This window comes from Homo sapiens, chromosome 6, assembly GCF_000001405.40.
Source record: "Homo sapiens chromosome 6, GRCh38.p14 Primary Assembly".
In the NCBI taxonomy this organism is placed as follows: domain Eukaryota; kingdom Metazoa; phylum Chordata; class Mammalia; order Primates; family Hominidae; genus Homo; species Homo sapiens.
In genome coordinates this window covers 141,464,749-141,490,904 of record NC_000006.12, presented here as the reverse complement: position 1 = coordinate 141,490,904, position 26,156 = coordinate 141,464,749, and the positions used below count along the sequence as shown (strand labels likewise).

General features: G+C 36.4%; 1 pseudogene, besides 4 other annotated features; it reads left to right on the top strand.

The window, feature by feature from the left end:
- Positions 2,106-2,306: a silencer, noted in NCBI's record as "peak6162 fragment used in MPRA reporter construct". NCBI's record gives its function as "represses an SCP1 promoter by STARR-seq MPRAs in K562 erythroleukemia cells {active_cell/tissue: K562}" and the evidence as "EXISTENCE:reporter gene assay evidence [ECO:0000049][PMID:32103011]".
- RN7SKP106 (RN7SK pseudogene 106) lies at positions 4,493-4,764 on the top strand (annotated as a pseudogene).
- Positions 7,144-7,283: an enhancer, noted in NCBI's record as "active region_25175". NCBI's record gives its function as "activates an Ori minimal core promoter by ATAC-STARR-seq in GM12878 lymphoblastoid cells {active_cell/tissue: GM12878}" and the evidence as "EXISTENCE:reporter gene assay evidence [ECO:0000049][PMID:35858748]".
- Positions 18,831-19,430: an enhancer, noted in NCBI's record as "H3K27ac hESC enhancer chr6:141792612-141793211 (GRCh37/hg19 assembly coordinates)". NCBI's record gives its function as "activates a minimal SCP1, AML or CMV promoter by ChIP-STARR-seq in naive H9 embryonic stem cells {active_cell/tissue: H9 hESC(naive)}" and the evidence as "EXISTENCE:reporter gene assay evidence [ECO:0000049][PMID:30033119]".
- Positions 23,383-24,093: an enhancer, noted in NCBI's record as "NANOG-H3K27ac hESC enhancer chr6:141787949-141788659 (GRCh37/hg19 assembly coordinates)". NCBI's record gives its function as "activates a minimal SCP1, AML or CMV promoter by ChIP-STARR-seq in primed H9 embryonic stem cells {active_cell/tissue: H9 hESC(primed)}" and the evidence as "EXISTENCE:reporter gene assay evidence [ECO:0000049][PMID:30033119]".

Here is a 26,156-nt window from a genome sequence, read left to right as displayed (position 1 = left end):
TGCAGTAGGGATACTTCTAGACCTTGCTCTATGTATCTTTTCATCTGATTTTTTTTCATCCTTTAAAACATGTTTTGTAACAAACTGGTAAATGTAAGAGAATGTTTCCTTGAGTTCTGTGAGTGCTCTAGTAAATTAACTGAACCCGAGTTGGGGGATATGGTAAACCTGATTTACAGTCAGTCAGAAGGAGAGGCAAAATAACCCAGGGCTTATGATTGCTGTCAGAAATTAGGGGCTGTCTTGTGGAACTGAGTCCTCAACCGATGGGATCTGGCACCACCTCCAGGTAGAGAGTGTGGGAATTGAGCTGGGTTGGAGGACACCCAGCGAGGGCCTGCTGTAGAATTGATTGCTTGCTTTGCCCTTTGCATATGGTGTCAGAAGCATGTTGTGAGAGTATAGTAAGAGAAACTGAGTTTGTTTTTTCTGCTCAGGTGTTCACATTATGGAAAGCTTTTAAGTTTACATTGGAATTCTTTGTTCTATTTTTCTGTAGATCTAAAACTGTTTAAAAATAAAGAGGCTAGGTCGGGCATGGTGGCTCATGCCTGTAATCCTAGCACTTTGCGAGGCCAAGGCGGGCAGATCACAAGGTCACGAGTTCGATATCAGTCTGGCCAACATAGTGAAACCTCATCTCTACTAAAAATACAAAAAATTAGCTAGGTATGGCGGTGTGTGCCTGTAATCCCAGCTATTTGGGAGGCTGAGGCAGGAGAACTGCATGAACCCAGGAGACGGAGGTTGCAGTGAGCCAAGATCATGCCATTGCACTCCAACCCAGGCAACAGTGCAAGACTCTGTCTCAAATAAATAAATAAATAAATAGGCTAAAAATTATCACGTTTAGGTGTATTATAGCATTTATCTTTTCTAGATTTCTGTAAGGCTATTTAAAAATGTAGAAATGAAGTGGTTTTGTCCAATGACTTTGTTACTTAAAATCCTAAGAACCCTGTATGGTTAGAGTTCTATAATGTACACTGTAAGTTAACACATATGTTACCTTGTGCTGTGGTTTTAGTACATCCCCCAAAGTTTGTGTGTTGAAAACTTAATCCTCAATGCAGCAACATTGAAAAGGTGGGAACTTTCAATAAGGTCATAAGGGCTCTTCCCTCATGAATAAATTAGGTCTGTATCATGAGAGTGGGTTAGTTATTTTGGCCCCTTCTCTGTCTTGTCTGCTTTCTTGCATTTCTGCCTATCTGCCATGGGATGATGCAGCAGGAGGGCCCTAGCCAGATGCCAGCACCATGCTCTTGCACTTTTCAGTCTCCAGAAACTTGAACAAAATAAACTTCTTTTCTTCATAAATATTACCCAGGTATGGTATTCTGTTATAGCACTAGAAAGCGGACCAAGTCACATTGGGTTAGCAAATAAAAAGTCAAAATATTTCAATGCACAGATTTATAATCATGACAGGCAAAATTACTTATCTAATTCTGAGGGATAAATTATCTAACTTTTACTTGGAGTTTTCTAAAAGACCTAAAATGTTTAACTGTGGGTCAACCTTTACCTGATATGCTTACTTATAAAAGTCTAAGAATACTGATTTTTTTCTCAATTTGCTTATGTGTTTAGAATTATTATTTTTAAAAACACCCAACTAGTCTTCCCCACATCTAATTAATCAATATGCACAGAAAACAAATAAATAAAAATATAGAAAAGACACTGAAAATTTAAAGTTTAAGAACTAATGGATTGATAAGAAAAACAGTGCCTCAAAAATGGTTTTTATATATATATAAATTATGTATATAATACATTATAATGTATGTTTATAATAATATATAATTTTACCATAATTTATAATTTATATCATAAATTGTATATACATATTTGATAAAAATATTATTTTAACCATATATATATACACACACAAACACACACACACATATATATATAACCATTATATATATACTGATAAAAATTTTACACCACTGGAACATTTCATTATTTTGGCAGGATTGTCTTTGGGCAGCACAACCTTGAGGAGCAATGTAGCAATATCTTATAAGGTTGAAGAAACAGCCATAGACAGCTCAGTAATGAAATCATTACTGAATGTGTACACTAGAGAAACTCTTACATATGTGCAAATTTAGTAAATGCTCCCTGTCCCTTTGGCCTGATGAGTTCACCTACTGCTCCTTTAAACAGCTACTGACCTGCTGCTAGACTGTAACTTCCTGTTTCTGCATCACCCTTCTCCACTTAAGCCGTTTCTCTGAAAACAAATGAGATAGAAATGCTGGACACAGGAACACTCAGTATGTGCCTGTGTTAACACTACTTAAGGGAAATCCTCAACAATTGGGGCTAAAAGGCAATGGCTAAATCCTGTAGCTTCCTTGTACTGGGGTAGAACTAACCCAAGGTATGTTCCTTACAATCCCCAGTGGGATTGTGACTCAGTTGTTAACTGTGGTACTCAAGCTTGTTAAGACGTAACTTTATTGCCCCTTTTCTCTTACCTATTTCCCTTTCTTTCTTTTCTCATTTTTGGTGCCTGGGATCAACTTCAAAATAAAGTGTCTGTGTCCAAATCCTTGACTCCATTGGATTTGGTGGGGGAAGGATTAAGACTAAACAGAATATGAGAATGTCCATTCCAGCATGATTTGTAATAGTAAACAATCAGCAAAATTGAGGCTTTTAAATTTTATTGTGTTTTATAGTAGCTTAGCAAAATAAATCAATAATTTATTTTTATATCTAGAACAACCGAGAATTTACATTCAGAGATATTAAATTTATAATATCTTCATAAATTGGAATTGGAATTAATTTATAATATTTTCTTATGTGAAGTCAATACTACTGACTATCAAGACTTCTTATATGAAGTCAATACTATTATCACTTTTTGGTGTAAGTGTGGAACATACATTCAAATGACTACCAAGTAATGGGATTATATGCATGCTTAGAAATAAATACAGATATCAAGTTCTGAATAAGTGGTCATGGTAATATTTATTCCCAGATAATTGCAACAAACCATGTAGAAATTATATATTTCTTAGATGAATCAACAATTCAATTGTATTATACTGTGTATTAGTCTGTTCAGGCTGTCAGAACAAAATACAATAGACTTGATGGCCTAAACACAGAAATGTATTTTCTCATAATTCTGAAACTGGAAGTCCAAAAGCAAGGAGCCAGCAGGGTTGGTGTGTGGCGAGGGTTTGCCCCTTGGGTTGCAGATGATTGGATGCCTCCTTGCTACATTTGCTACATGCTGTCTTGATCTTTTCTTTGTGTCCTCCTGGAGAGACAGCTAGAGAGAGAGAGAAAGAGAGAGAGTGAGAGAGAGGAGAAAGTTATTTTTCTCTCTGGTGTTTCTTCTTATAAAGACATTATTTCTATTGGATTAGTGTCCCAATTTAATGATCTTATTTAACCTTAATTATATCTGTAGAGGCTTCTTCCCCAAATACACAAATACAGTCATATTGGCAGTTAGGCCTTCAATATATGAATCTGGGGGAAGGAATATAAATATTTAGTCTATAATATACTCACATTCTGTACTCAAGACTTTTTATTAAAATAAGTTACAAGGAACTTATCATCCACTGATTACTAAGAGGCGTTGGGAACCATATGCAAATAATTTTTAATCTTGATCCTTCTAACACTTTATTACAAACTATTCATATCTAGAATTTAAGATTTGGATGAAACTTTTCAGATTATCTACTATAAGCACAACGTACAAGGATATTTCTATGTGTTTCTTGGCAAGGTGCCAGGATCATACTCTATTTCTGGGCGGAGGGAACAGTGCATTGTATTTACCTAAATATTTAGAGAGTCTTCTTAATATTGACTTATAATATTTTTTCTTATAATGTCTATACATTTGACATAAATATGCCATCTGGAAAATGCTGACCATATGTGTTCTCTGATTCCAAGTATCACTGTATTTATTTTCATGGTAACCTAGCTTCAGAACAACTCAAGTGCTCAAACCAAACACTGTAATATGGATACTGCCTGTCAACTAACAGATACTTTTTCTATGATTTCCTCATAAAAAGTATTTGCACAGGCTGGGTGTGGTGGCTCAGCTGTAATCCCAGCACTTTGGGAGGCTGAGGTGGGCGGATCATGAGGTCAGGAGTTCGAGAACAGCCTGGCCAACGTGGTGAAACCCCGTCTCTACTAAAAATACAAAAATTAGCTGAGCGTGGTAGTGAGCTTCTGTAATCCCAGCTACTCAGGAAGCTGAGGCAGGAGAATCATTTGAACCCAGGAGGCAGAGGTTGCAGTGAGCCGAGATCACGCCACTGCACTCCAGCCTGGGCGAGAGAGCCAGACTCTGTCTCAAAAAAAAAAAAAAAAAAAAAAGGATTAGCACGATACAGAACCCTTTTCTCATAATGCCATTTCAAAATTAAAGTTATTTGTTTTGTTGTTGTTGTAGTTGTTTTGGTAAAAGGAAGAAGAAGAAGAAGAGAAAAATTATGGATATGAGGGCAATCTAAGAGCAACATCTATCAACCATTTGATTGCCAGGGTTGGTGCAGCAGATCTGGTTGACTAGACAGGTGTTCCCTTCCTTCCTCACCACTCCATATGCGTTCCTTCCAAAGCTGTGTGCTCGGTAAAAGAGGATGACCATCCGCGATGGAGAAGGACCCATCTTCAGTCAAGGGCACGTGAGTAGATGGGCTTCCCTGCTAGAACTTCCAAACAAGCTCTCAAGAAGAGAAAAATCAATCACATGATATTATTCTTCACCTCTCTTGTTTATTATTTATTGATTTATTTTGTTGCTATTGTTGAATAGTTCATATAGAGTAAGTCTGGAGAAAAATAAATTAAACGGTAAGGACAATTCAGTGATTATCCAATTGAACAGCTGTATGTGAAATAACATCATTATTGGTATTACTTTATTACTTTTAGGGTTTGAATTCTTGTGTTCAAGTGTAGTTCTTTCAGATATTGTTGCTGTATTATCATCTCTAAATTTGTAAGTTGTTTCTTATTTCACAGGGACATAAAGACTGGAAACAAGCTTCATTGCCATTGGGGTTCAGTTGTATCTAAGTGATAAGAGAAAATTTCTTGGTGTTGTAGAAGAGCAGAAGCCATTGTTCTCATGCCATGGCTGAGGATAAATGTGTGGGCTTTGACAAATGGCAGACATGGGTTTTTGCCCATTGATTTTGGAGATCTTCCTGAGAATCATCTTCTTAGGTGTGGTAGGCAACTAAAATAATTGTTAATGGCTTCCTGAGATTCCTTCACTTAAAAATATCTTGAAAGCAGCTTTTCTGACTGTCATTTTGCCACCTCTCAGCAGTTTTATTGGCCACTAGTTCTGTGTCTTAAACCTCTTTACATGTAAAATACTTAAGAGTGCTTTCAGTTTTAATGTCTAAACTCTTATCTATTCAGTAGTGGATATTTGCCACTCTCTTCTAGTAAATATCTGGTTTTCAAATAGATTATATGGTTATGTGAGAAAAATCCCAGAATTAAAAAAAAAATCAGTCCTATTAAATTAACCACATACCTCCATCACACCCAAAGTTCTTGCTGCTTTTCCTCATTCTTTCAAAAAAATTTTTTATGGTTTCAAAACTCCATGCTGATAGTTTTTATCTTTTGTAATGATATAAATCAAGAAAATATGTCAGGAAATAAAATTGATATAATTTCAATACATTTATTTTTATATTGTTTTATTTTGTATTAGACTTGATTTTTATGATAAAAGTCAATGAAAGTTATCAAAATTTAGAAAAATAAAAATGAGATGAAATGTATTAAAAGGAAATCTTTAGACAAATTTAAAGGAGTTTAATGAAGCAGAGAATTATTTGGGAATCCAGTAGCTCTCAAGAGCCAGCAGAGTGGTTCAGAGATCTCACTTCTGCAAAGTAGGTAGGCAGTACATATGGACAGAAAATGAAAGTAAGGTACAGAAACTGGTTGGTTACAGCTTAGCATTTTTTACTTGTTTGGACATGGTCTGATCAATTGGCAGCCTGTGATTGGCTGAAGCTAGTCGGCTGTGACTGGCTGAGACCTAGCAATTTGTTACAATATATACTCCTAAATTAGGCTTTCAGTTTGTTTAGTTAAATTGTAGTTTGTTATGTAGGGACCTACGGTACCGAGACAGCCTCAAGCCAAATTTAATTTAATTAAACAATCATCACCTCAATCTTAATCTTGGCAAAGGAAATACTAAAATAAGATGGGCCATTGAGGAATCTTTGAGCCTTCCAAGTAAAATGGCAAATTTCAAGTTACACTGCGTTACTACAGGAACTACAGAGGTTAGAGTTTTGATCAAAGACTTAAAAAATTGCCATCCAGTGAACAGATACCTGATTAAAGTTACCTCTAAAGAGGGCAAATATTTAATAAATGGCAACAAAGAGCTGGCCGGGTGTGGTGGCTCACGTATGTAATCCCAGAATTGTGGGAGGCCGAGGAAGGATGATCGCTTGAAGCCAGGAGTGGTAGACCAGCCTGGGCAACATAGTGAGACCCTGTCTCTACAAAAAATAAAAATAAATTAAAAAAATTAAAATAAATAAGTAAATAAATAAGAGCTCCCAGTTTTTGCTTTAATAACCCAGGCTTGAAATGTTGTGTTTTTTTTTCCATTGGAAAAAAAACATTTTAAGGTTTCACTTTATTTTTGCTGAATTGTTAACATTGCTGAGCTGATTTCACCTAAATTATGGTAAAGATTAATCAGAGACCCTAAACTCTGAAGGAAGTATCTTAACTATTTTTCCAGAACTCACTAACCGCAAGTCCTAGAAAACTCCCAAGGGCAAGTTTCATATTTCTGGCCATATTTTAAAACTGAAATCATTTTGAGGAAAATTCTAAAGCGTTTGAAGAGAAGCATCCAAAAATTTCAATTGCTTCTCTGAAACCTTGGAATCCTGCCTGTTAATAATCTCCATGCTCTTTGCTTAGAATTTACCCACAGAATTAACTGACAGGAAACTGCCCATCACCCTCCACCCTCCCAGTAAGACTGTGCCAAAACACTCATCAGAAGCCACAATGACAAAAATAGATCCAATTGACGACTATGCAGTGACTAAGAAACGGATGTACCGATTTAAGCTATCTTCATTATCTTCTTCCTTGTTTTGATGGCAAAAAGAAAGAGAAAGCTACGTAATAGCATCTGGGCAAAACAGCTTGTACACCAAGTTCTGCCCTATGTAATTTAAAATATTTGAGTTCTTATAACATCCCTGAAAAGCATGGCTTTTAATACAAACACCACATATATACAGTACAGATCATCTAACTATAGTCATGCTTCTGGGCAGAGCTTGCAGCAATAGCAAAAATAATAAAAGAAAATTCTCTTTGTACAGCTGAATGGCTGCACTAGAATTTTCAGTGTTCAGATGTAATTAGAAAACAGCTGTGAAGGAAAATCAATTGTTCCTGGTAGTCAATGGCTAATTTTCCACAATCAAAATAAAGAATGCAATATGACATGTTTGTAATGAGCAAGTAATTGTTTCTCTTTTGTTTATTGTTTTAACATTTTTCCCTTTATTTGTGGGAGCTGTCATTTGCTTGCTTTAGGACAACTTCTCCTAGTCTTTGCTTCTCCCATCCATATTTAAATACTAGCAACTGCCAAAGAGGCTATGCAGTCCAGCTCAGTTTATTCACGATTGCCTTGCTTATGATGGTGATTTGTGGACTTGCAAGGAAATATTGTCCTTGCTTTTATGAATTCACAATAAAGCTTCCATAAACGGAATGATTATTAAACACTAGCATTTATTCATGGGATTTAACTTTGATTCATTCTGCAAAGGTCTCATGTGTCAAAAAGATGCAGTTCCCAGAATTCATTGACCTGCTGCTCCAAGTGCGTCTGCATTGCAAAACAAAACAAAACTGAAACGACCACACGGCCCTTTTTTTATACCCTTCAATCATTGGCATAGACTGGACGGTATTGGTGTAGCAGATGGATAGAAAAGCTCAACCTCTATGGTGCACACTTGGAATTTAGATGGTTGGAAAATTAACTTAAATGCTAGAATAGACCAATGAGAGTAAAATTGTTTTATCATGCAAAAGAGTCTGGTTGAGAAACACCAAGAGGATTAACACTCCTAGGCTGCTTTCAGCTGATAGAAAAAGAAAAAAAAAATGCTTATATTATTTAGTGAAATTAATGTCTATATTATTCTTTTTCTACACTTATATTTTTCTGGAACATTCTTTGAAAGCAAATATAATTGCAGTTTCAGAGAATGAAATGAATAGTAAATAAGGACTGAATCTTAATTGCTGTGTGATCTTGGGACCATGTCTTAGTCTTGGTTTATCTCTATTTCTTTGTGAGAAAAATGATAATTAATATGTGAATATAGGTTCTTCCTCTTCTAATATTATTACATAAAATATATTAGTATATGAATATTTCCAAATTTTAAAGTTCTGGAGGAAAGACATTTTCCATTAAAAAAATGCATGATAAGCCATCAGTAGCCACTAAGTCATAACTAGTTTCATCACATCCATTTAAACCTGTGACTGACAATTTTCTGATAGTACTTCTGAATTTTTCTCAGTCTTTTGTCTCCAGAGAGCCTGTTCCAGAATCTGTGCAGTGTTTATTATATAGCTCCATTTCTTGGCCCTAAAAAGGCATTGTGGTTTGAAGTCGCTGATGATGAGAAGGGAATTCTATATTTTATGAAGCAGAGTAAACTATTAACTGAACCAAACTTTGAACTGAACTTTGAAAACTATTGGCCTACTTCAATTATTATGGATAACAAACCTGAATATATTTTTTGAATGGCTAAGGTGCCATGCAGCTTTTGTTATAAAATTTCAGGAGGCACTCTCCCCTGTGATTCCCTGTCTATCCACTTTTGTTCTTCATAGTCTTAAGTAGAATACCAATAATTTGATATTCATATTTCCTCCTAATAAATCTCATACTGTCATACTTCATTACCTCTGCTTTTTCTTACCCTCAGCACAGAACGTCCCCTTTTTCCACTTCCCAGTCTTTTGAAAAGCACCACAGGCAAGGTCAAGAGATGTTTGCTTGTTTGATTTTTAATTTGTGTTGTTTGTTTTTGAGATCACGATGTTATACATACTTTTGTAGATGTTGTGCCAATGAAGCCAGTGGAAATTTGACTGGAAGATGAAATGATAAAAGATGGATGACACTTCTCATCCCATGACTATAAGAAGAGATAACGTAACTAAAAGGTAGTTAGATGGTATAATTAAAATATATAGTATAAGACCTGACAACCAATTGAAATGAAGGAGGAAGACAGAAGGATGGTGGAGTTCTGTAAATTCTCCAAGTTGGTAGTATTATTTTATGTCTACAACATGCTTCCTACAAGTACAAACATATGGCTGATGCTGTGTCAAATATATATTGTCTTTCAGAAATTTGAAAATTGTGGTACTGCACACAAGGAGTGTATAGAAGGCTATTAGAGTTGAGTCAGTTCATGACAATCTAAAAAGGAGAAGAATGTCAAACTCTTGCTGCTGAGATTCTGAGATCTCTCCTTTTCCTTGCTCAGGGGTTGATTCTTTAGCTGTTTTCTTGATTTTCTGATCAACCCAAAAACTTTTCCAAGAAGTCCTCTTCACGCAAATTTTCCCCTTATTTTATTCACAATTGTTTTCTGGTGCATGGTATTCAAATAAGTTAAAGTAATAAATAAAGTAATGCAGAAGTTAGTACCTGAGTGTGGCTTGCAAGAAGCAGACCCTGAGTAAAAGTGTTGGTGTGGAATCATTCAGCAGATCACGATGAGACTACTATCTGAATGGTAATGTGAAAACAGTGTTTGGCAGTGGTAAAATATCCAGCAAAAGCTTTATTTCAAATCCCCTAAGACTATATTCCCATTGGCAAAGTCTCTATGGAAAAGGTAGCTACTCCCATACACTGATTTTTATAAGATATAAGCAATGACAGAACCATGGAGAGAAATGTTTGTGTTGGATACATTGAAATATACAACATAAAGAAAAACAAACTCAAATTTTGAAGTTATTGCATCAAATAATAAAATAAAACTTCAGTTGGACTCCAAACAGGGTTAAAAAATACTAATTTCTTCTTGCAATAGTAGTAATAGGAATAAAATACCACATATTGATTCTAAATGTTACTGAAATATTGCAGAGGTTGACATAGTACATGACTTAACAAGATTTGTTACCCAAAGGTTAGGGTGTTGATTAAAATACACTATCAGCCAACCACACTGGGGATATCTTGGAATATGCAAACGATTTACTAGGTCCCTCACCTCCAATGATCTCTATTCTCCATCTGATAAAGTTTCTTTTTTATCTTCTTTGCTCACAGAAGATGTAATTCTATGGTGGGAGGAGATAAAAAATTTTCTCTGAAGTCCCACATCCAAGGCCACATCTCTTACTGATGCTATCTTTGCTGGGTTAACAAAATCCAATTCCAACAAGGCCATAAAAATAAGATACGTAACTGACTTGGGAAGGAGAATTACATATATAAGCAATTGTAGAAATTTGACAATGGATGCCATCTAAAACCTTATGAGATTTTGCCTAATAAGGGTAAATATAATTTTCAAATAAGTTGAAGTATTTTTTCTACATATCTACTTACTGGATAATTATCTATGTAGCTAAAATAAACAGTAATAAAGATTGATCTAAACTATGTTACATATTTAACAATTTGAAATTCTCCATGTAATATAGGTAAGGAAGGGTAACAACAGTATCAAATAAGGATGTTGAATTAATTTTGTCTTCTACATAGTCTACCTGGTCTATATCCAATTCCTGAATCCATATCCCTATATGGATGGATTTAGCTTCCTTCCTGTCGTATAAGTTAAAATGTCTCTGATGCTACCTGAGATAAAACCTTCCTTATGTATTCTCAATTTCCTCTCATCTAATTAAGGATGTTGCTCCTGTAATTCTCCTCTGCACTCCTTCATCACTGAGGGCTCCTGTGTACTGGAACATTTCTATCACCCGTAAACATTTCCAATCTTAAAAAATAAAAATAAACTATGCCATATATGCGCAGATCAACCCTGATTCTTAGCTTCTGTTTTTGTTTTGTTTTGTTTGTTTTGTTTTGTTTTTTAGATGGAGTCTCACTCTGTCACCCAGGCTGGAGTACAATGGCACGATCTCGGCTCACCACAACCTCTGCCTCCAGGGCTCAAGTGATTCTCCTGCCTCAGCCTCCCGAGTAGCTGGGATTACAGGCGCCCGCCACCATGCACAGCTAATTTTTGTATTTTTAGTAGAGTTGGAGTTTCACCAGGTTTGCCAGGCTGGTCTCGAACTCCTCAGGTAATCCACCTGCCTCGGCCTCCCAAAGTGCTGGGATTATAGGAATGAGCCACTGCACCCCGGCCCCTTAGCTTCTGTTTATAGCTAATAAACAAAAGGGTTGTCTTACTCAGTTTCTTTACTTCCTTTTCTCTCATTCTCTCTTGCACTCTCTCCAACTCAGGTTTTATTCCCACTACTCAACAGAGATGATTTTTGTTAAAATCACCAAGAGACCTATCTGCATTTCCAGATTTGAAACTTAATTCTCAGTCCTCATCCTAAAAACTACTTAAGTGATATATTTAAAACATTTGAGTGCTCACCTCTTCTTGAAATACTTCACTCACAGGCCTTTAGGACATCACTCTTTCTTGATTCACCATATTTTCTAATGCTTCTTTGCCTTTATCTCGTCTAATCTTATTGAATGTGATTTTAGGAATGCCCCAAGCTGGATCCTAAGCCATCTCTCTTTCTATACTTATTCTTTAGCTAATTTTGTCTAGTCTTATGACTAACACCATACAAAAAGTGTTGACTTCCAAATTTAAAACTTAATTATCAATATTTCTCCTGAAGTACAGCCTGAAACACTTAATCTCGCTAAAGACACGTAATGTTTACTTAGATATCTAGTGAATTTATTAATGTTACCATGTCCAAAATCAAACTCTATTTTCTTCCCCTAAATTTCCTCCAAAAGTTTTTTAAAAATTTAACATTCTCATTGCAATACAGTATTCCAATATATCAATACACCACGTTTGTATAACAGTTTCTTTATTGGTGTATATTTGACTTTTCCCAGGTTAGAACTCTTAGGAATAGTGCTAGGGTGAACATTTTTACACATCTTTGATAAACATATATGTTTTTATCCTAAGTATATATCTTGAAGTAGAATTGCTAAGTATGCTTAAAATTAGCTTTAGTGAATAAGGCCCAAAATATTTCTCGAGTGGTGTACATAGCCACATGTCTATTAGCAATGTATGAGCTTCTCACTTGAGGCATGTCCTGGCCTAAACTTGGTACTTTGTCTTTTAAAATTTTGCTATTAACAGTGATTAGTAGTACCGAGTTGTCATTTAATGTGCATTTCCCTCATCACTATTGAAATTAGACATCTTTACACATCATTGGTCATATAGTACCTCTCTTTATTTTAAGAGCTTGTTCCAGACTTTGGCCCAATTTCTATAGGATTGCCCATTATTCTGCAGGGTTTAAAAAAAAAATCTGGATGTGAGTCCTTTATCAGAATTATATATAGGAAACATTTTCTCTTTGTATATGGCTGCTCTTGTCACATGCTAAAGGAGTAGGTATAGCCAAAATTGTATTTTTTCTCATTATTATCGATATTTGTGTCTTGATTAACAAATTTGCTTACTCCAAAGTCAAAATAAGATTCACTTATGTTTGTTTAGTATCTTTACTGTTTTAACTTTTTACATATGGATCTACCATTTATTTAGAATTGTTTTTTTCTGTAAGGGTTGAGAGTAGGGATTAATATCAATTTCTTTGCATATGATTGAATTTTGGTTGGGCTTACAATGATTTAAGAAGAGTGAAATTTTAATACCATTAAATCTTCAATCCCATGGACATTTTACTCCTTCTTTGCTTTAGGTTATGTAATTTAGCTCAATAATATTTTGCAGTTTTAGTGTAGATATCCAGATATTGATTCATCTTCATTAAATTTATTGCTAGGTATTAAATAATTGATAAGACCTTTATAAATTGATTCATTTTTAAATTTTATTTGCCTTGTATTCATTTACGCTATATCAATAACATGTAAATTATCCAACAACCTGCTAAATTCACTTACTTATTCTAATATTTGTTAACCCCTAGGAATTTCTATATTTACAACCATATCTGTGTGAAAATTGGTATTACTTCTTCCTTTATAACTCATATATCTCATTTATTTTAATTGCCCTATTGTACTGAAAAGAACTTTCAGTACATTGTTACTGGGCAATGGTCATAGAAAGTATCCTCTTGCATTTTTCACCTCAAGGAAAATGCTTAAAGTGTTTATTATTATGTATGATGTTTGAAATATGTTTTCTGTAGTCATGTCTGATTGCAGTATTTTTAAAGTACCTTCTATTATCTGATTACTAAGAGTTTTAAACTGAATTTGTGTTGAATTTTACAAAATCCTTTTTAAGTGCAGCTATTAAGAGGAGAATGGGATTTTTAAAGTTTACTTTTGAATGGGAGGTTATATTGATTAAATTAGAATATTTTAAATAAAATTTATATTCCTGGAATACATGCGACTTGGTATTTTCATTTTTATAAGTGGCTGGGTTTGATTTGCTATTTGTTTAGGATTTTTGCATTTATAAGAAGATTGGTCTGTGCCTTCCTCGTTTTTAATAATATATTTTATGACATTTGACCAACAAACGTATTCAGTTTCAACTACTGACTTGGGAAATCCTTTCTTCTGTTCTAATTAAGCTCAGAAGTTTATTTAAGATTACCGTCACTTCATCTTTAAATATGGAAGCATTCTCCAGCAAAAATAAGTGTTTTTTTAGATTACATTCTGAGAGGGCTGAAAGATACAATTTCTTTAACACATAATGTCACTTCAGATTTTATGTATCTCTTCTGTTAATTATATAAAATTGTGTTTTTCTAGATATCTGATCAATTAAATTTTATAATTTTACATAAACATGTTCAGAACTTCTATAATCTTTTTGTGTCTGTTGGATCTTTAATGGTGTTTTCTTTTTCATGTCAGTTATTTGTAACTTGTGTTTTTATTATTTTTTTGATCAACATTGCTATAGGTCTATGCTTTTTAAAAAAATTATTTAAGGCCAGGCATGGTGGCTTACGCCTGCAATCCCAGGACTTTGGGAGGCCGAGGCAGGTGGATCACGATGTCAAGAGTTGAAGACCAGCATGGCCAAGATGGTGAAACCCCATCTCTACTAAAAATACAAAAATTAGCTGGGCATGGTGGCAGGCACCTGTAATCCAGCTACTTGGAAGGATGAGGTAGAGAATTGCTTGAACCCGGGAGGTGGAGGTTGTGGTGAGCCTAGATGGTGCCACTGCATTCCAGCCTGCGTGACAGAGTGAGATTCTATCTCAAAAAAACTTATTTAATATAAATATCATGATTTTTAATCTTATATGTGTGTTTCTTCACTCATTGAGAGGTGTGTAATAATGTTTTGCAATGTGATTATGAATTTGTCTATCTAACCATTTGGAAGCTATGTTCTTATATATAAATTTAGAATTGTTTAATCTACCTGGTGGATTAACCAGTGAATTGTTCTTCTACATCACTTCTTCGTTCAAGGATAATGTGTTTGATATTAATATAACTTCTGTTATATTTGTACTTGTACTATCATTTACCTTCAGCCTTTCTGAGCTCAAGTGAAAAAACCTGCAAAGTACAGGGACCAGGCTAACTTCTCCTTTCCTCTATCTTCTTGAGATCTTAGTTTATCTCCAGGTCCTGGCTTTGTTGGCAGCTCTTACTTCAATACTGCCCATTCAGTCATGTAAGATGCCCAATAATTCTTCTGGTTCTATGGCTTTGGCATCGGCCTTAGCAACAGATTTGCTCAAGAATCAACAAATATTCTTGTAGAAGAAGCAGATGTAAAATATCAGCTCACTGCTCTATAAATCCCTTATCTTGAATTTTGACCCATCAAATTCTGTGAGTTCCATCAGTTCTTTTATATATTTAGTTTTTTTTTTTTTTTTTTTTTTCATTTTTATCCAGGTTTCTTTGTTGTCATTGCTGGGAACATTGGTCTGGTGAAAGCTATTTCATCATGGTCAGAAGTAATATTACAGTAATCATTTAAAAATATCTCATATCACATCATTCCACTGCTCAAAACACTCACATCACAAGAAAATGGAAGTCAAAGTCATTACAAAGGCATAGAATCCCCATATAACCTTGACTGACTGCTCAGACCTGATGTCTTAGCACTCACCCACTACTTTACTCTACATTGTGCTTCAACCATTCTGATGATGTTTTCCTATTCCTTGATAGTCCAATATTAGCAATACTCTTTGTTTTCACTTCTTGCAGTGCTATTCCTCCAAATATTTGCATGACTCATTCCTTTCTCGTGTTGATTTCTCTGCATTGTTTGTTTTATATAAGGCCTGCAACATCAGTCCGCATACTTCTGATGCTTTTTAATTTTTCTTAATAGCTCTTATCTCCACCTGTCATAATAGATATTTACTTGTATTTTTTTCTGTATTTGTCTCCCTCTCTCTAGTAGATTATGATTATATTACATGAAAACTGAGACCTTGTCTACTCTGGTCACTGCTCAATATCTAGCACTTGGAATATTTCTTGATAGTGTATGGCATTTAATAAATATTTATGTATTCTGTCAGCCCACCATTTCATTTTATTTTGCCCCATTTAATCAGAAAATTTTCCTTTTTTATAGCCATAGATGAATAGATTACTCAGAAAATTCTGGAATCTATTAAAACTAAACAGAAAAACAAACAAATCCAAAACACATAGGAACAAACAACCCCCAAACAAGCAAAACAACAAATACAATTTACTGCAGATTATGACAGAAATTTTGGCATAGAGACTGCAATTAAATTGTGAGTTTATGAACAAAATAGTGTTAGGAATTGTGATAAATACCACTTATCACATTATGTAATAATTTGAACCATGGGGGAAAAAGACATTGAAAAGCAAGACTTAAAAGACTTGAGACATACAGCAGAACTCTACAGAAAATAAACACCATTGTACATAATTATAGGGAAAACAGCCAGCAGATTTATAATCTAGGACCTACAGTAAAATAATCTATGTAGCATTTAATACTAAGATATGTAAAAACGAAAACATCATTAGGGAATATTTGAATCAATTTTCTCAGCATAGAATGTAAAAGCCAGTGAACTGAGAACTAAATAGAAGCTGCAGATGGAGAGATGCAGAAAGAATACTATTTTACCAACTCCCTTCAGAAAAAAAAGAACAGTGAATTCACTTTGCTGGAGATGAGTGGAGGGAAGTTTTATGGAGAGTTTTTATTTAGGATGATATATGGATAAGTATTATAGGTTGAATTTTCTCCCGCTAAAGTTCTTATGTTGAAGTCCTACCCTCCAGTTCCTTAGAATGTGACTATATTTCCTCTTTAAGGAGGAAATAAAGATTAAAGGAGGTCATTAGGGTAGGCCCTAATTCAATTTTACTTATGCCCTTTTAAGAAGAGAGATTAGGACACAAGACATGATAAAAGGGACGACTGTATGAAAACAAAGAAGAGAGCCATCTACAATTCAAGGTGAGAAGGCCTCAGAAGCCCTGCTGACACCTTGGCCTTTGACTTCTGAACTGAGAGGAAATAAATTTATGTTGTTTAAGCCATCCAGCTTCTGGTACTTTTTCATGGCAGTCCCAGCAAATTAATGCAGCATGTTTCCAACCTAAAAGGAAAGTATGGAAGAAACAAGATGGATGAAGCAGTGAAGAATGGAAATAATTTTCAGATCAAGGACCAAAAGATGGTAGAGCGATGTATCCAGAGGTATAATAGTGAGGTAGAAATTGGAGAATGTGTTAAATTGTATCATAATAACTATTTAGCAAGGGTACTGGTAACAACAAGAGTCAGCCAAATGCCTAAGCAGATAGGGGCTGGTACCCAGTGAAACCCCACCTCCAATCAAGCCAAAGACAGTTTAAAGACTGAGAGCCAAGCTACAAGTTAAATCCTCAGAGTGGATTGAGAAATTGTCTTTCTGTTTCAGGTGCTTTCCTCTGATTGATCCCCACCATTCACCCATTTTACATATACTTACCTTTTCCTAATTGGTTTTCTACCCTGTTGTGCCCACATTTGAGGGGTGTCTTCACTTTAACTTTATGCATACTCACAAAACAATTAACACACATTCCCTATCCTGTGCCTATAGAGACCCCAGACTCAGCTGGTAGAGGAGGAGATGGCCAGACTTTGGGGAAGACTTCCTGCCTGCCTCCAGCTCCCATCTCCAGCTGCCCTCTCCACTGAGAGCCATTTTCATTGCTCAGTAAAATTCTCTGCCTTCACCATCCTTCAATCATTCATGTGATCTCATTCTTCTTGGATGCTGGACAAGAGCTCATGATCCACCAAGTGTAAGTACCCAGAAAAGGCTGTCACACTGGCCCTTTGCCCTCACTGGTGGAGGGCAACCACCCTTCTTAAGAAGGCAAGGGGCCAACTGAGCTGCTAACACACTGCTGTATGTTGGACTGCAGATGGCAGAACTAAATGAGCACTGTAACACCCCCTCCAGTCTCACTGGGGTCATGGGCACCTTCACCTGGGTTTCACCACATTCCCTTCATGGTGGCATCCCTTGTCTGAGCATGGGCCCCACATGGCGATTGTTCCTGTGTTGGTGCCTGGAGTGGCTGTCCGGGTCCTGCATTTGCTTGCTTACGTGCTCCTTTCTGCAAGGGGCTGAGTGCAATGGACCAAAAAAATGGGACACCCCTGCTGCAAGTCTGGTGAAGGGGCCAAGAAAAATCCTGCATCATCTGTGGGCTCATCCAGGACTCAGAAGGGTGAGTGAATATGGATCTGACTCTTCACTTTTTTCCAAGACTTCTTGTGCTCAAACTTCCCTCTGAAGGGAGATGAAGCACCAAACCTCTGAGTGGCCAGTTAAGAGCAAATGGCACAGCTAGAGAGGACAGGATGTGACCCTGCCACCTCTCTTTCAGATGAAAGAAATGTTTTTTTGTTTCTCTTCACAGAGGTCTAGCCACTGTGTTGAACCAGAATAAAGTCCTGGGGCAACTGAAGACATCTGGCCAAGGCCACTCCTCAGGGTTGCTGGAAGGCCCCTAGACTGGCTCTGTCCCCAAACTCCCTTCAGAGCATTGGCCAAGACCCCCAGACTTTTCTGTGGTATTTTTCATTCCTTCTTTTATGCTTTGAAATGGCTCCTATCTCTTCTTTTATAATGTTAAGGGTGTTGCTGCAAACTGCAGAGATATTACTAGGTGGAATAAGCATTTGACTTAGCCACCAAATATGCAATTCAGAGCAATGTGATTCCCATCTGCTGTTAGAGGCAAGGGGGATACAGTGATTAAGAATATTTCCCCTGTTGAAGGAACCCATTTGCATAGATCAAGAGGCTTTTTCCCTCAGGCACCTGCCCCTCCCCCTACACTTAAGCTTTTCTTTTTTCCTTTTATCCACCTTGTCAGGGGTTCACATGACCCTGCAAATGCAGGGAGCTCTCCTAGGCGAGGGGAATTGTTTTTTCTACCTTAGAACTATGCTTACGATAGGGAAGCAATGGAGGAGTGACCATCCTGTCTGCTGGCTGCAAATTTGGCAAGGGCCACCTGGGACTTAATTTAAAGAAATCCATGCACTCCCCTGAGACAACTTTTTTCCAAAACTCAATTGCAAGCTTTGGGTTGAAGCCCTAGAGAGGAAAACTAGATCTGAGGGATCCAAAGGCAGGCAACCACAGAAGTGAAGGGGCACAGTGCAGGTGAGCATGACTAATTCCTGCCCATTAGCCTCCCAACACACACATTTCATGGGTAGATGTTATACTAGTATCCATGCCATAAACGAGGTCTGGGGAACTCAGAGTTTACTGACAGCAGTGGGGACAGGCAGCGTGTGGGTGAGTGCCAATCATTTCCACCCTTTAGGCCTCCCTGTTAATGTGGATGAAAGCTGCATTGGCACTCATGGGCAGCACCCTGCTGATGTCACTGGGACCCAAGGATTTAAGGATGGAAGAAGGAAGGGGGATGCCATTTCTTTCTCTCCCTCACATACCCAATGTATTCATTTGGAAGAGAAAGGAACTGAGAGACCACTTTTCCTCTCTTTCCAAATGGATAACCAATCATCTTCAGTCAATACTTCTGAATCACTGGGACTCCTTTGGGAAAAAAAAAAAAGACTTTTCCTCTGTCCTCTCTTTGTGGATGAGTAATTGTGTCCCTATACCAGGACACTCTCCTCAGATGCATCCTCCAAACTGGGAAAAGTTAATTTCACAAACCTTAAATTGCTTGGCTTAAAATTGAGCTTGGGGGAAGGGAATGCAGAGGCCTGATATAGCAGCAAAACAGTAAAAGTTTTTTACTAATCGGACTTCTGGCCTCTCTCTCCCTGTGCAAACCTATAAAAAGGAATGGTAAGGGTCACTGTACAGTTCTGAAAAATCTGGATGAGGGCTCCATCTTGTTTTACGTCCTTGAGAGCCTGATCTTGCAACCACATAACGGTAGTTTCTTTTGGTCTCTGCCATTTTAAAATAGCGGCCTGGGTTCAATTCCGGCCAGGGAATGAGTACTTTCTGGTTAATATCTGTGTGACTTTTACTATTTGCTGATTCTCTTCCCCTCTATGAACTTCTAGTTTCCTTTCTTAAATCTTCCTTTCTCTGAGCTACCTATAAAGATTCTAGATTTTCTAAAAACTGCTTATCACCTCTTTGAAAATACCTCATACACTTGTGGTTAAGTCATAACCTTAGCTGAGGCTTGCTGGTTTCACCTGTGAGGCTGCATTTGGTAAATTTCTAAAGCCAGAAATATGGGCTACTTGGCATGGTTAAAGTCAGGTAACAAGGGATTTAAAAGAATTTTCTTAAAGAGCACTATGGTTAAAAGTCACCTTAAGTAAAAGTGAATATCAAAGTCATAAGTATTTAATATAGTTAAAAGACCTTTATATTTTTTTATTCGTGGACCTTGTTTTTTTGGACAAAGGTTTTTTTCATAGTCAACTGAATTATTTTTCTCCATTTTGTCTTTTCACTTTTAGTGCACACCCAATAGGCCCTAAGATAACTTCTAAGAGAATAGGATTCCTTGGAAAAAACAGAGAAGGTGCGATGAACCCCATTTTGGAGGGGAAAAAACCCCTCTTTTTACCTCATGGAACCCTAGGAATTAAAAGCAGATAGACCCCTCTCAAAATCTGTTTTTGTCTTCCAGCTATGCCTGTTTATTAGGCCCTAGAAACTGCATGTTTTCCTAGCCCTCCTTTTTGAAAGGCTCCACCCTGAGGTCCATAATCCAATTAGGAGATTGGCAAATGAAAAATATTTCAACTACTGGATCTTCTTATGTCTGTCTTTGTAGTCATATATGTGTTATGTGTGTGATGTGTATATAAAAAAGAGCTCTAATTAATTGGCTTAGAGAAAAATAAGCACTTAGATCAAATTTTTTTGAAGGAAAAATAAGAGCTATACTGCCTTTTATTTCATGTGATTTAATCTTTGAGAAATAAAAATGGTTCTACTTTGGGAGGCCGAGGCGAGCGGATCACGAGGTTAGGAGATAGAGACCATCCTGGCTAACAAGGTGAAACCCTGTCTCTACTAAAAATACAAAAAATTAGTCAGGCGTGGTGGTGGGCAGATGTAGTCCCAGCTACTTGGAAGCTGAGGCAGGAGAATGGCGTGAACCTGGGAGGCGGAGCTTGCAGTGAGCTGAGATTGAGCCACTGCACTTCAGCCTGGGCGACAGAGCGAGACTCCATGTCAAAACAAACAAACAAACAAAAAAACAGTTCTAAAGATTACTGGTAAGATACAAATGTCTTCGAAATGTACATATGCGATCTAAATTATGCAGGTCAGATACTAGGTTTGCTAAATGTTTTAAGGTTGTAAACTGCTTCTTTAGTTTTTCAGAACTGGTCAATTTACCCGCTTCGCAATTTGGTAAGGCTTAGGGAAATATAGAATTAACCACACCCCAAACTATGTTGGAAAGAGTCAGACTTTATCTGCACCTAGTATATAATTGAAATAACTTATCAGATTTTACATTAAAATTTAAAATTGCTCAGAATTACCATTATAACATGTAATTGAGACTACTGAAAATAGATCTACATGCAAGTTGTGTGAGAGAAGTAAAATGTGTTTTTAGATAAAGATTATAAAAAGGCATGGGAATGTAAATTTTTGTCTAGTTTAGAGGGTTAGAGGATTGTTTTAAATTAGATAAGATAAAGCTAAATGTTTAAATAAGTTGAGAAAACTTTGCAAAAATTAATGTTGTAAAAGAAATTCTGTGTGTGAACATATTAACAAAAATTTGTAAAGGATTATCAAAGGTTTATAAGACTCTCACCTCATGGTCAAACTGATTAAGATAGGATAAAATTATCTATAAAGTCTCATTTAAAAAATGGGGTTGACATTAATAGTAGACTCATGCAAGAGTAAAATTTGGCCTTCTCTCTCTTGAACAGGATTTTCATGTAATTTTAAAGACAGATTGTTTGGAATCAAGTCTTTCTTCCTAATGAATAAAAGTTTTGCCTTGTTTTAAAATTTTTGAGTCAACATTTTGGCTAAAATAAATGACTTATGGTAATGCAGACTTCTATTTCATAATATCAAGTGTTTTAAAATTTTAACCTGTTTGGTAGCCTTCCCAAAATAAAAATTCATCTTCAAAAATTGTCTTCTCTGACCCCTAACTTTTGAATTCTACAGAGGTCCCTTGGAGCATCCAAAAGAGAGGAAAACAGGATTATTTGATATGTTTAGTTACATGGGATTGCCAAAATAAAAATAAAGTTTAATATTCATTAGGTTATATAATAGAAGATTAATGTATGTTCCAAAATTGTATGAAATTTCTAAAATTCTAATGTCTTAGTATATAGTATCAATCATAATTTAGGTTCTTGTGTTAAGTTATTGTAAACCACAGAAATAATCAAATTTCTATGTCAATCATGTTTTTGATTGTCACCACCCATAGACATTATGTCACTCACAGACAATTGTTGTCTTGTTTTCATCCTTTTCAAAAGACAGTTTATAATCAGCTATAGGACTTTGATTGGTGCTCTCAAATGCAAGTTTCTAATAACTTTGGAGATTGTGATGATGGAACAGAGGAAAAACATATAATACTCATGAAGAGCTAAAATGTTCATGAATATCAACCCGAACAAGAGTTAATGGAATGGACTGAACTAATATAAAACTGAAATAATCTTTTTTAACTTTTTCTTAAAATCTTGCTGATTCTTGTTTTGTTTTTCAGAGTCAAGGAAAGTTTTCTTTTGAACTATCAAGAGTTTTTAACAATTAAGTTATTTTCCTGTGAACAAAATTTGGAGCATATTTGTTTCTCTTGGCCTGGCTTCTCCAGAATTTCAAAACTATTTATGAGTATTCTTAACTTATGGCAATATAGTTATTTGCATCAGTGCAATAAAAATCTATTTTCCTCTGCAGCAGGACACAATTGGAGAAACTGGTAGTTTTACCAAGGCTCTGACTGGAAAGGTGTGCTTTCCTTTAAGGAATCAAGCTTGACTTGCAGAGTCAATAAAAACCCCTGGGGAAAACTGGCCTCACACCTTGTCTTCACAGTTTTGGCATAGGGTTGCAAGCCTGTGGTAAGTAAAGAATGTCACTTTCTAACAGGCCCAGGAGCCACTTGTTATCTTGAAACCTCAAGAAGAGAGGAATTTACCCAACTCATATTTATTTGAGGGTACAAGCCCTTGTGGGCTCAGCTTTATCTGAGATTCCTTGTGGAACAGAGTTCCATCAAAGCCAATTTAAAAAGTCTATGTGAAAGATAGTTATTCTTGCCACACTTTATGTGAATAATCAGGTCAAGCATAAGACTAAGGTTTATTTTACAAACAACACATTCCTATAATGATTTGTTTTTAGCAAAACTGAGGATTGGAGAGAGAAAATTATGTTTCAAAACTTATATGCTTGTCATTAAATTCTAGTCTCATTACTTGTTTTTAAGTTTTTGCCTACATTTTACACTAATGATGCTTATTCCTGTGAACCAACCAGTGATCTACAGCTGCAGCTCAGGAGAAAAACAAAAGGGATAGGTAATGTAAAAATCTGGATCAATATTCTAGTTCTGAGCCATTATTCTGCAAATCTTGCCAGGTAATTGAAGTAAACAGGATGCCCATCACCCAGAGGTTTCTTTGGGAAAATAAGACAAAGGGAGCTAACCAAAGCCAAGTCCTATGCACCCAAATCTTAGTAGGCTTAACTATAGCCACCAGTTATCTGTGCATAAAAGCAGTCTCGGGATTTTTGAGCTGTCCCTACCCCTGCCTTGTTTTGTTTTGATACATATCTTGTAATAACCTGGTTTGTCTCTTCTGGCCTTCAGGCAGTCATACTCCAAACAGTCATGAAACCAGAGGTTCAAACAATGGCTCCCTTTTACAAGGGAACCTTAGATGGGCCTCTGAGGGAAATCTGACTGCTGTATTCCCAAAACAGTGACCCCTGTCAACAGGAAGCCATTAAGACTGGTCTTTGTCCCTATTCTAATGGAAGTTAGATGTACTTCTTCAGAGGGGGAAATGATAGAGGCAGGAGGCAGACAAATGTCTAGGCAGATAGGGGCATGTATCTGGTGAAACTCCACCTCCAAGCCAAAGACAGTTTAAAGCCTGAAAGCCAAGCTGCAAGCTAAATCCTCAGACAGGATTAAGAACCTGTCTTCCCTTTTGGCACACTTTCCTCTGACTGATCCTTACTTTCCACCTATTTTACATAGACTTACCCTTTCCATATTGTTGTGCCCAGCTTTCAGTGTTCCCTTCACTTTAACCTTTTTTGCCTACTCACAAACCAATCAGCATGCATTTCTCATCCTGCACCTTTAAAGACCCAAGACTCAGTCAGTAGAGGAGGAGACAGCCTAACTTTGGGGAAGATGACCTGCCCTTCACCTGTTTCTCCAGCTCCCCTCTCCACTGAGAGCCATTTTCATCACTCAATAAATTTATCTGCCTTCATCCATGTGGCTTAATGATCCACATAACCTTACCCTTCTTGGACACAGGACAAGAGCTTGGGGCCCCTGAGTGTGGGTACCCAGATAGGGCTATCACACTGACCCTTTGCCTTTGTCAGTGGAGGGCAGCTGCCCCATGGGATGAGACAAGGGGCCAACAGAGCTGCTAACATACTGCCGTCTGTTGGACTGTGGACAGGGAAAGTAAATGAGCACTGTAACAACCTCTCCAGTCTCTTTGGGGTCATTGGCATCCTCACCTGGGTGCCACTGCATTCCCCTTAAGGCAACATGCCTAGTCTGACTGTGGGCCCTACACAGAACTTGCTTCTATGTTTGCTGGATCCCACACTCACTTGCTCATGTACTCTCTCCCACAAGGGGCTGAGCACAGTGGACCAAGTGAACGGGGCAACCTTGCCACGAGTCCAGTGAAGGAGCTGAGAAAAATCCTGCATCAGTACTTAATAGCCATATCAGCACAGATTAAACTTCAGTTTCTACCTAAGGATCTTATATGTCTCAGGTAAATTTAAACACTTTACAATTTACACAGTTATTAGGGACCTTGTACTTTGTATTCTCCATAACCCATAGGAGCACTTCTTTTATCCTGGACAACATACTGGTTACTTTTTCAGGTATCTAACTCAAATCCGTTGTCATTGCATACTTAGCTTTCAGTAAGAAATGACCAAAAATAGTGAATTAATGATTAAACAGTTACATGTATTTATATTTGCAGGAGAAAATAAGAATCAAAAGATAACAGAAGTGAGACATAACAAAGAAATCAGAAGGACAAAAAGTATGTAATTTAAATAAATTTAATGAGGTTTAGTGATTTGGAAACAACAGCAAACAACAAACAGATACCTAAGGATTTAGCAGAATTTAGAAAAGGGCCAGAAAATAATAATGTAATGATCAAACCTGAAAATTAAAAAATAATAATATGATAGGTTTGTGTTTATTTAATAGAGGGTCAAAGGAAAATCCAAGAGTTTAAATAATTGGGTCAGTGTGGACCATGTCATTGGGCATGTATGTTATGGAACAGAACGTTCATTCTAACCAAAGGGGTAAAACCCACCTGGATCAACTCTGTGAGAGATGTATGGTAAACAGTTGCTCACACATATACAGGTTAATAAAATCTCCAGCCATGAATCCTATCATTATATTCCTCTTATTATATGGATTATTCAGGAATATTTGGTTATGATTTGAGAGTTCCTATCTTATTACAGATATCAAATGCAAAATTAAGATTTTTTTCTATTTTTATGTACGTTCCACATTGTTGATTTGTGCTTACTAATCTATTAATTAGACAGATGGGCCATTGGTTTCTGAACAATTACTATTGAGGAAAAAAACTCTCATTGTTTACAGAAATATTAGAAAATATTTTCTGTTTTTATTAATTGATATCAACCTGTCTCAGTCAGGTATTCCAAGTTCAAAGTTCGCTAACTTCTCTGTTTTCTTACAGATTTTTGACTTCTCTGTCCTTTGTGGATGATAATATTTAGATTTCAGAATGCACAAGGGGGTATTGTAATTCTCTGCAGGCAGTGAATCTCTGGCCATTGATCTGTGTGTCATTTCACCAGACTCTCAGGCACAGCAATGTTATAGTCTGGCAGCAGATAATGAAGACCTGAAACAACCTCCCATTCTGATGAATAAAATAAAGTAAATATTTTAAATCTGTTTATTTTCTATTGGAGGTAGCCTGTAGTTGAACATATATATTACCTTTTGAAAATCAACAAAAATATTTAGTTGATTCCAGTAGCACTCGGAGTTGTGAATTCATATATAGAATATTGAATTAATGGAAAAAAACCAGAGCATCCGAGTATAAACAGTGAAAAATGGTGCAAAATGAAGAAAGCAGGGGCGTGGGTGCATAAAACAGACAGTTGAGAAATTTTTCAAGCATGATTCTTTGTCT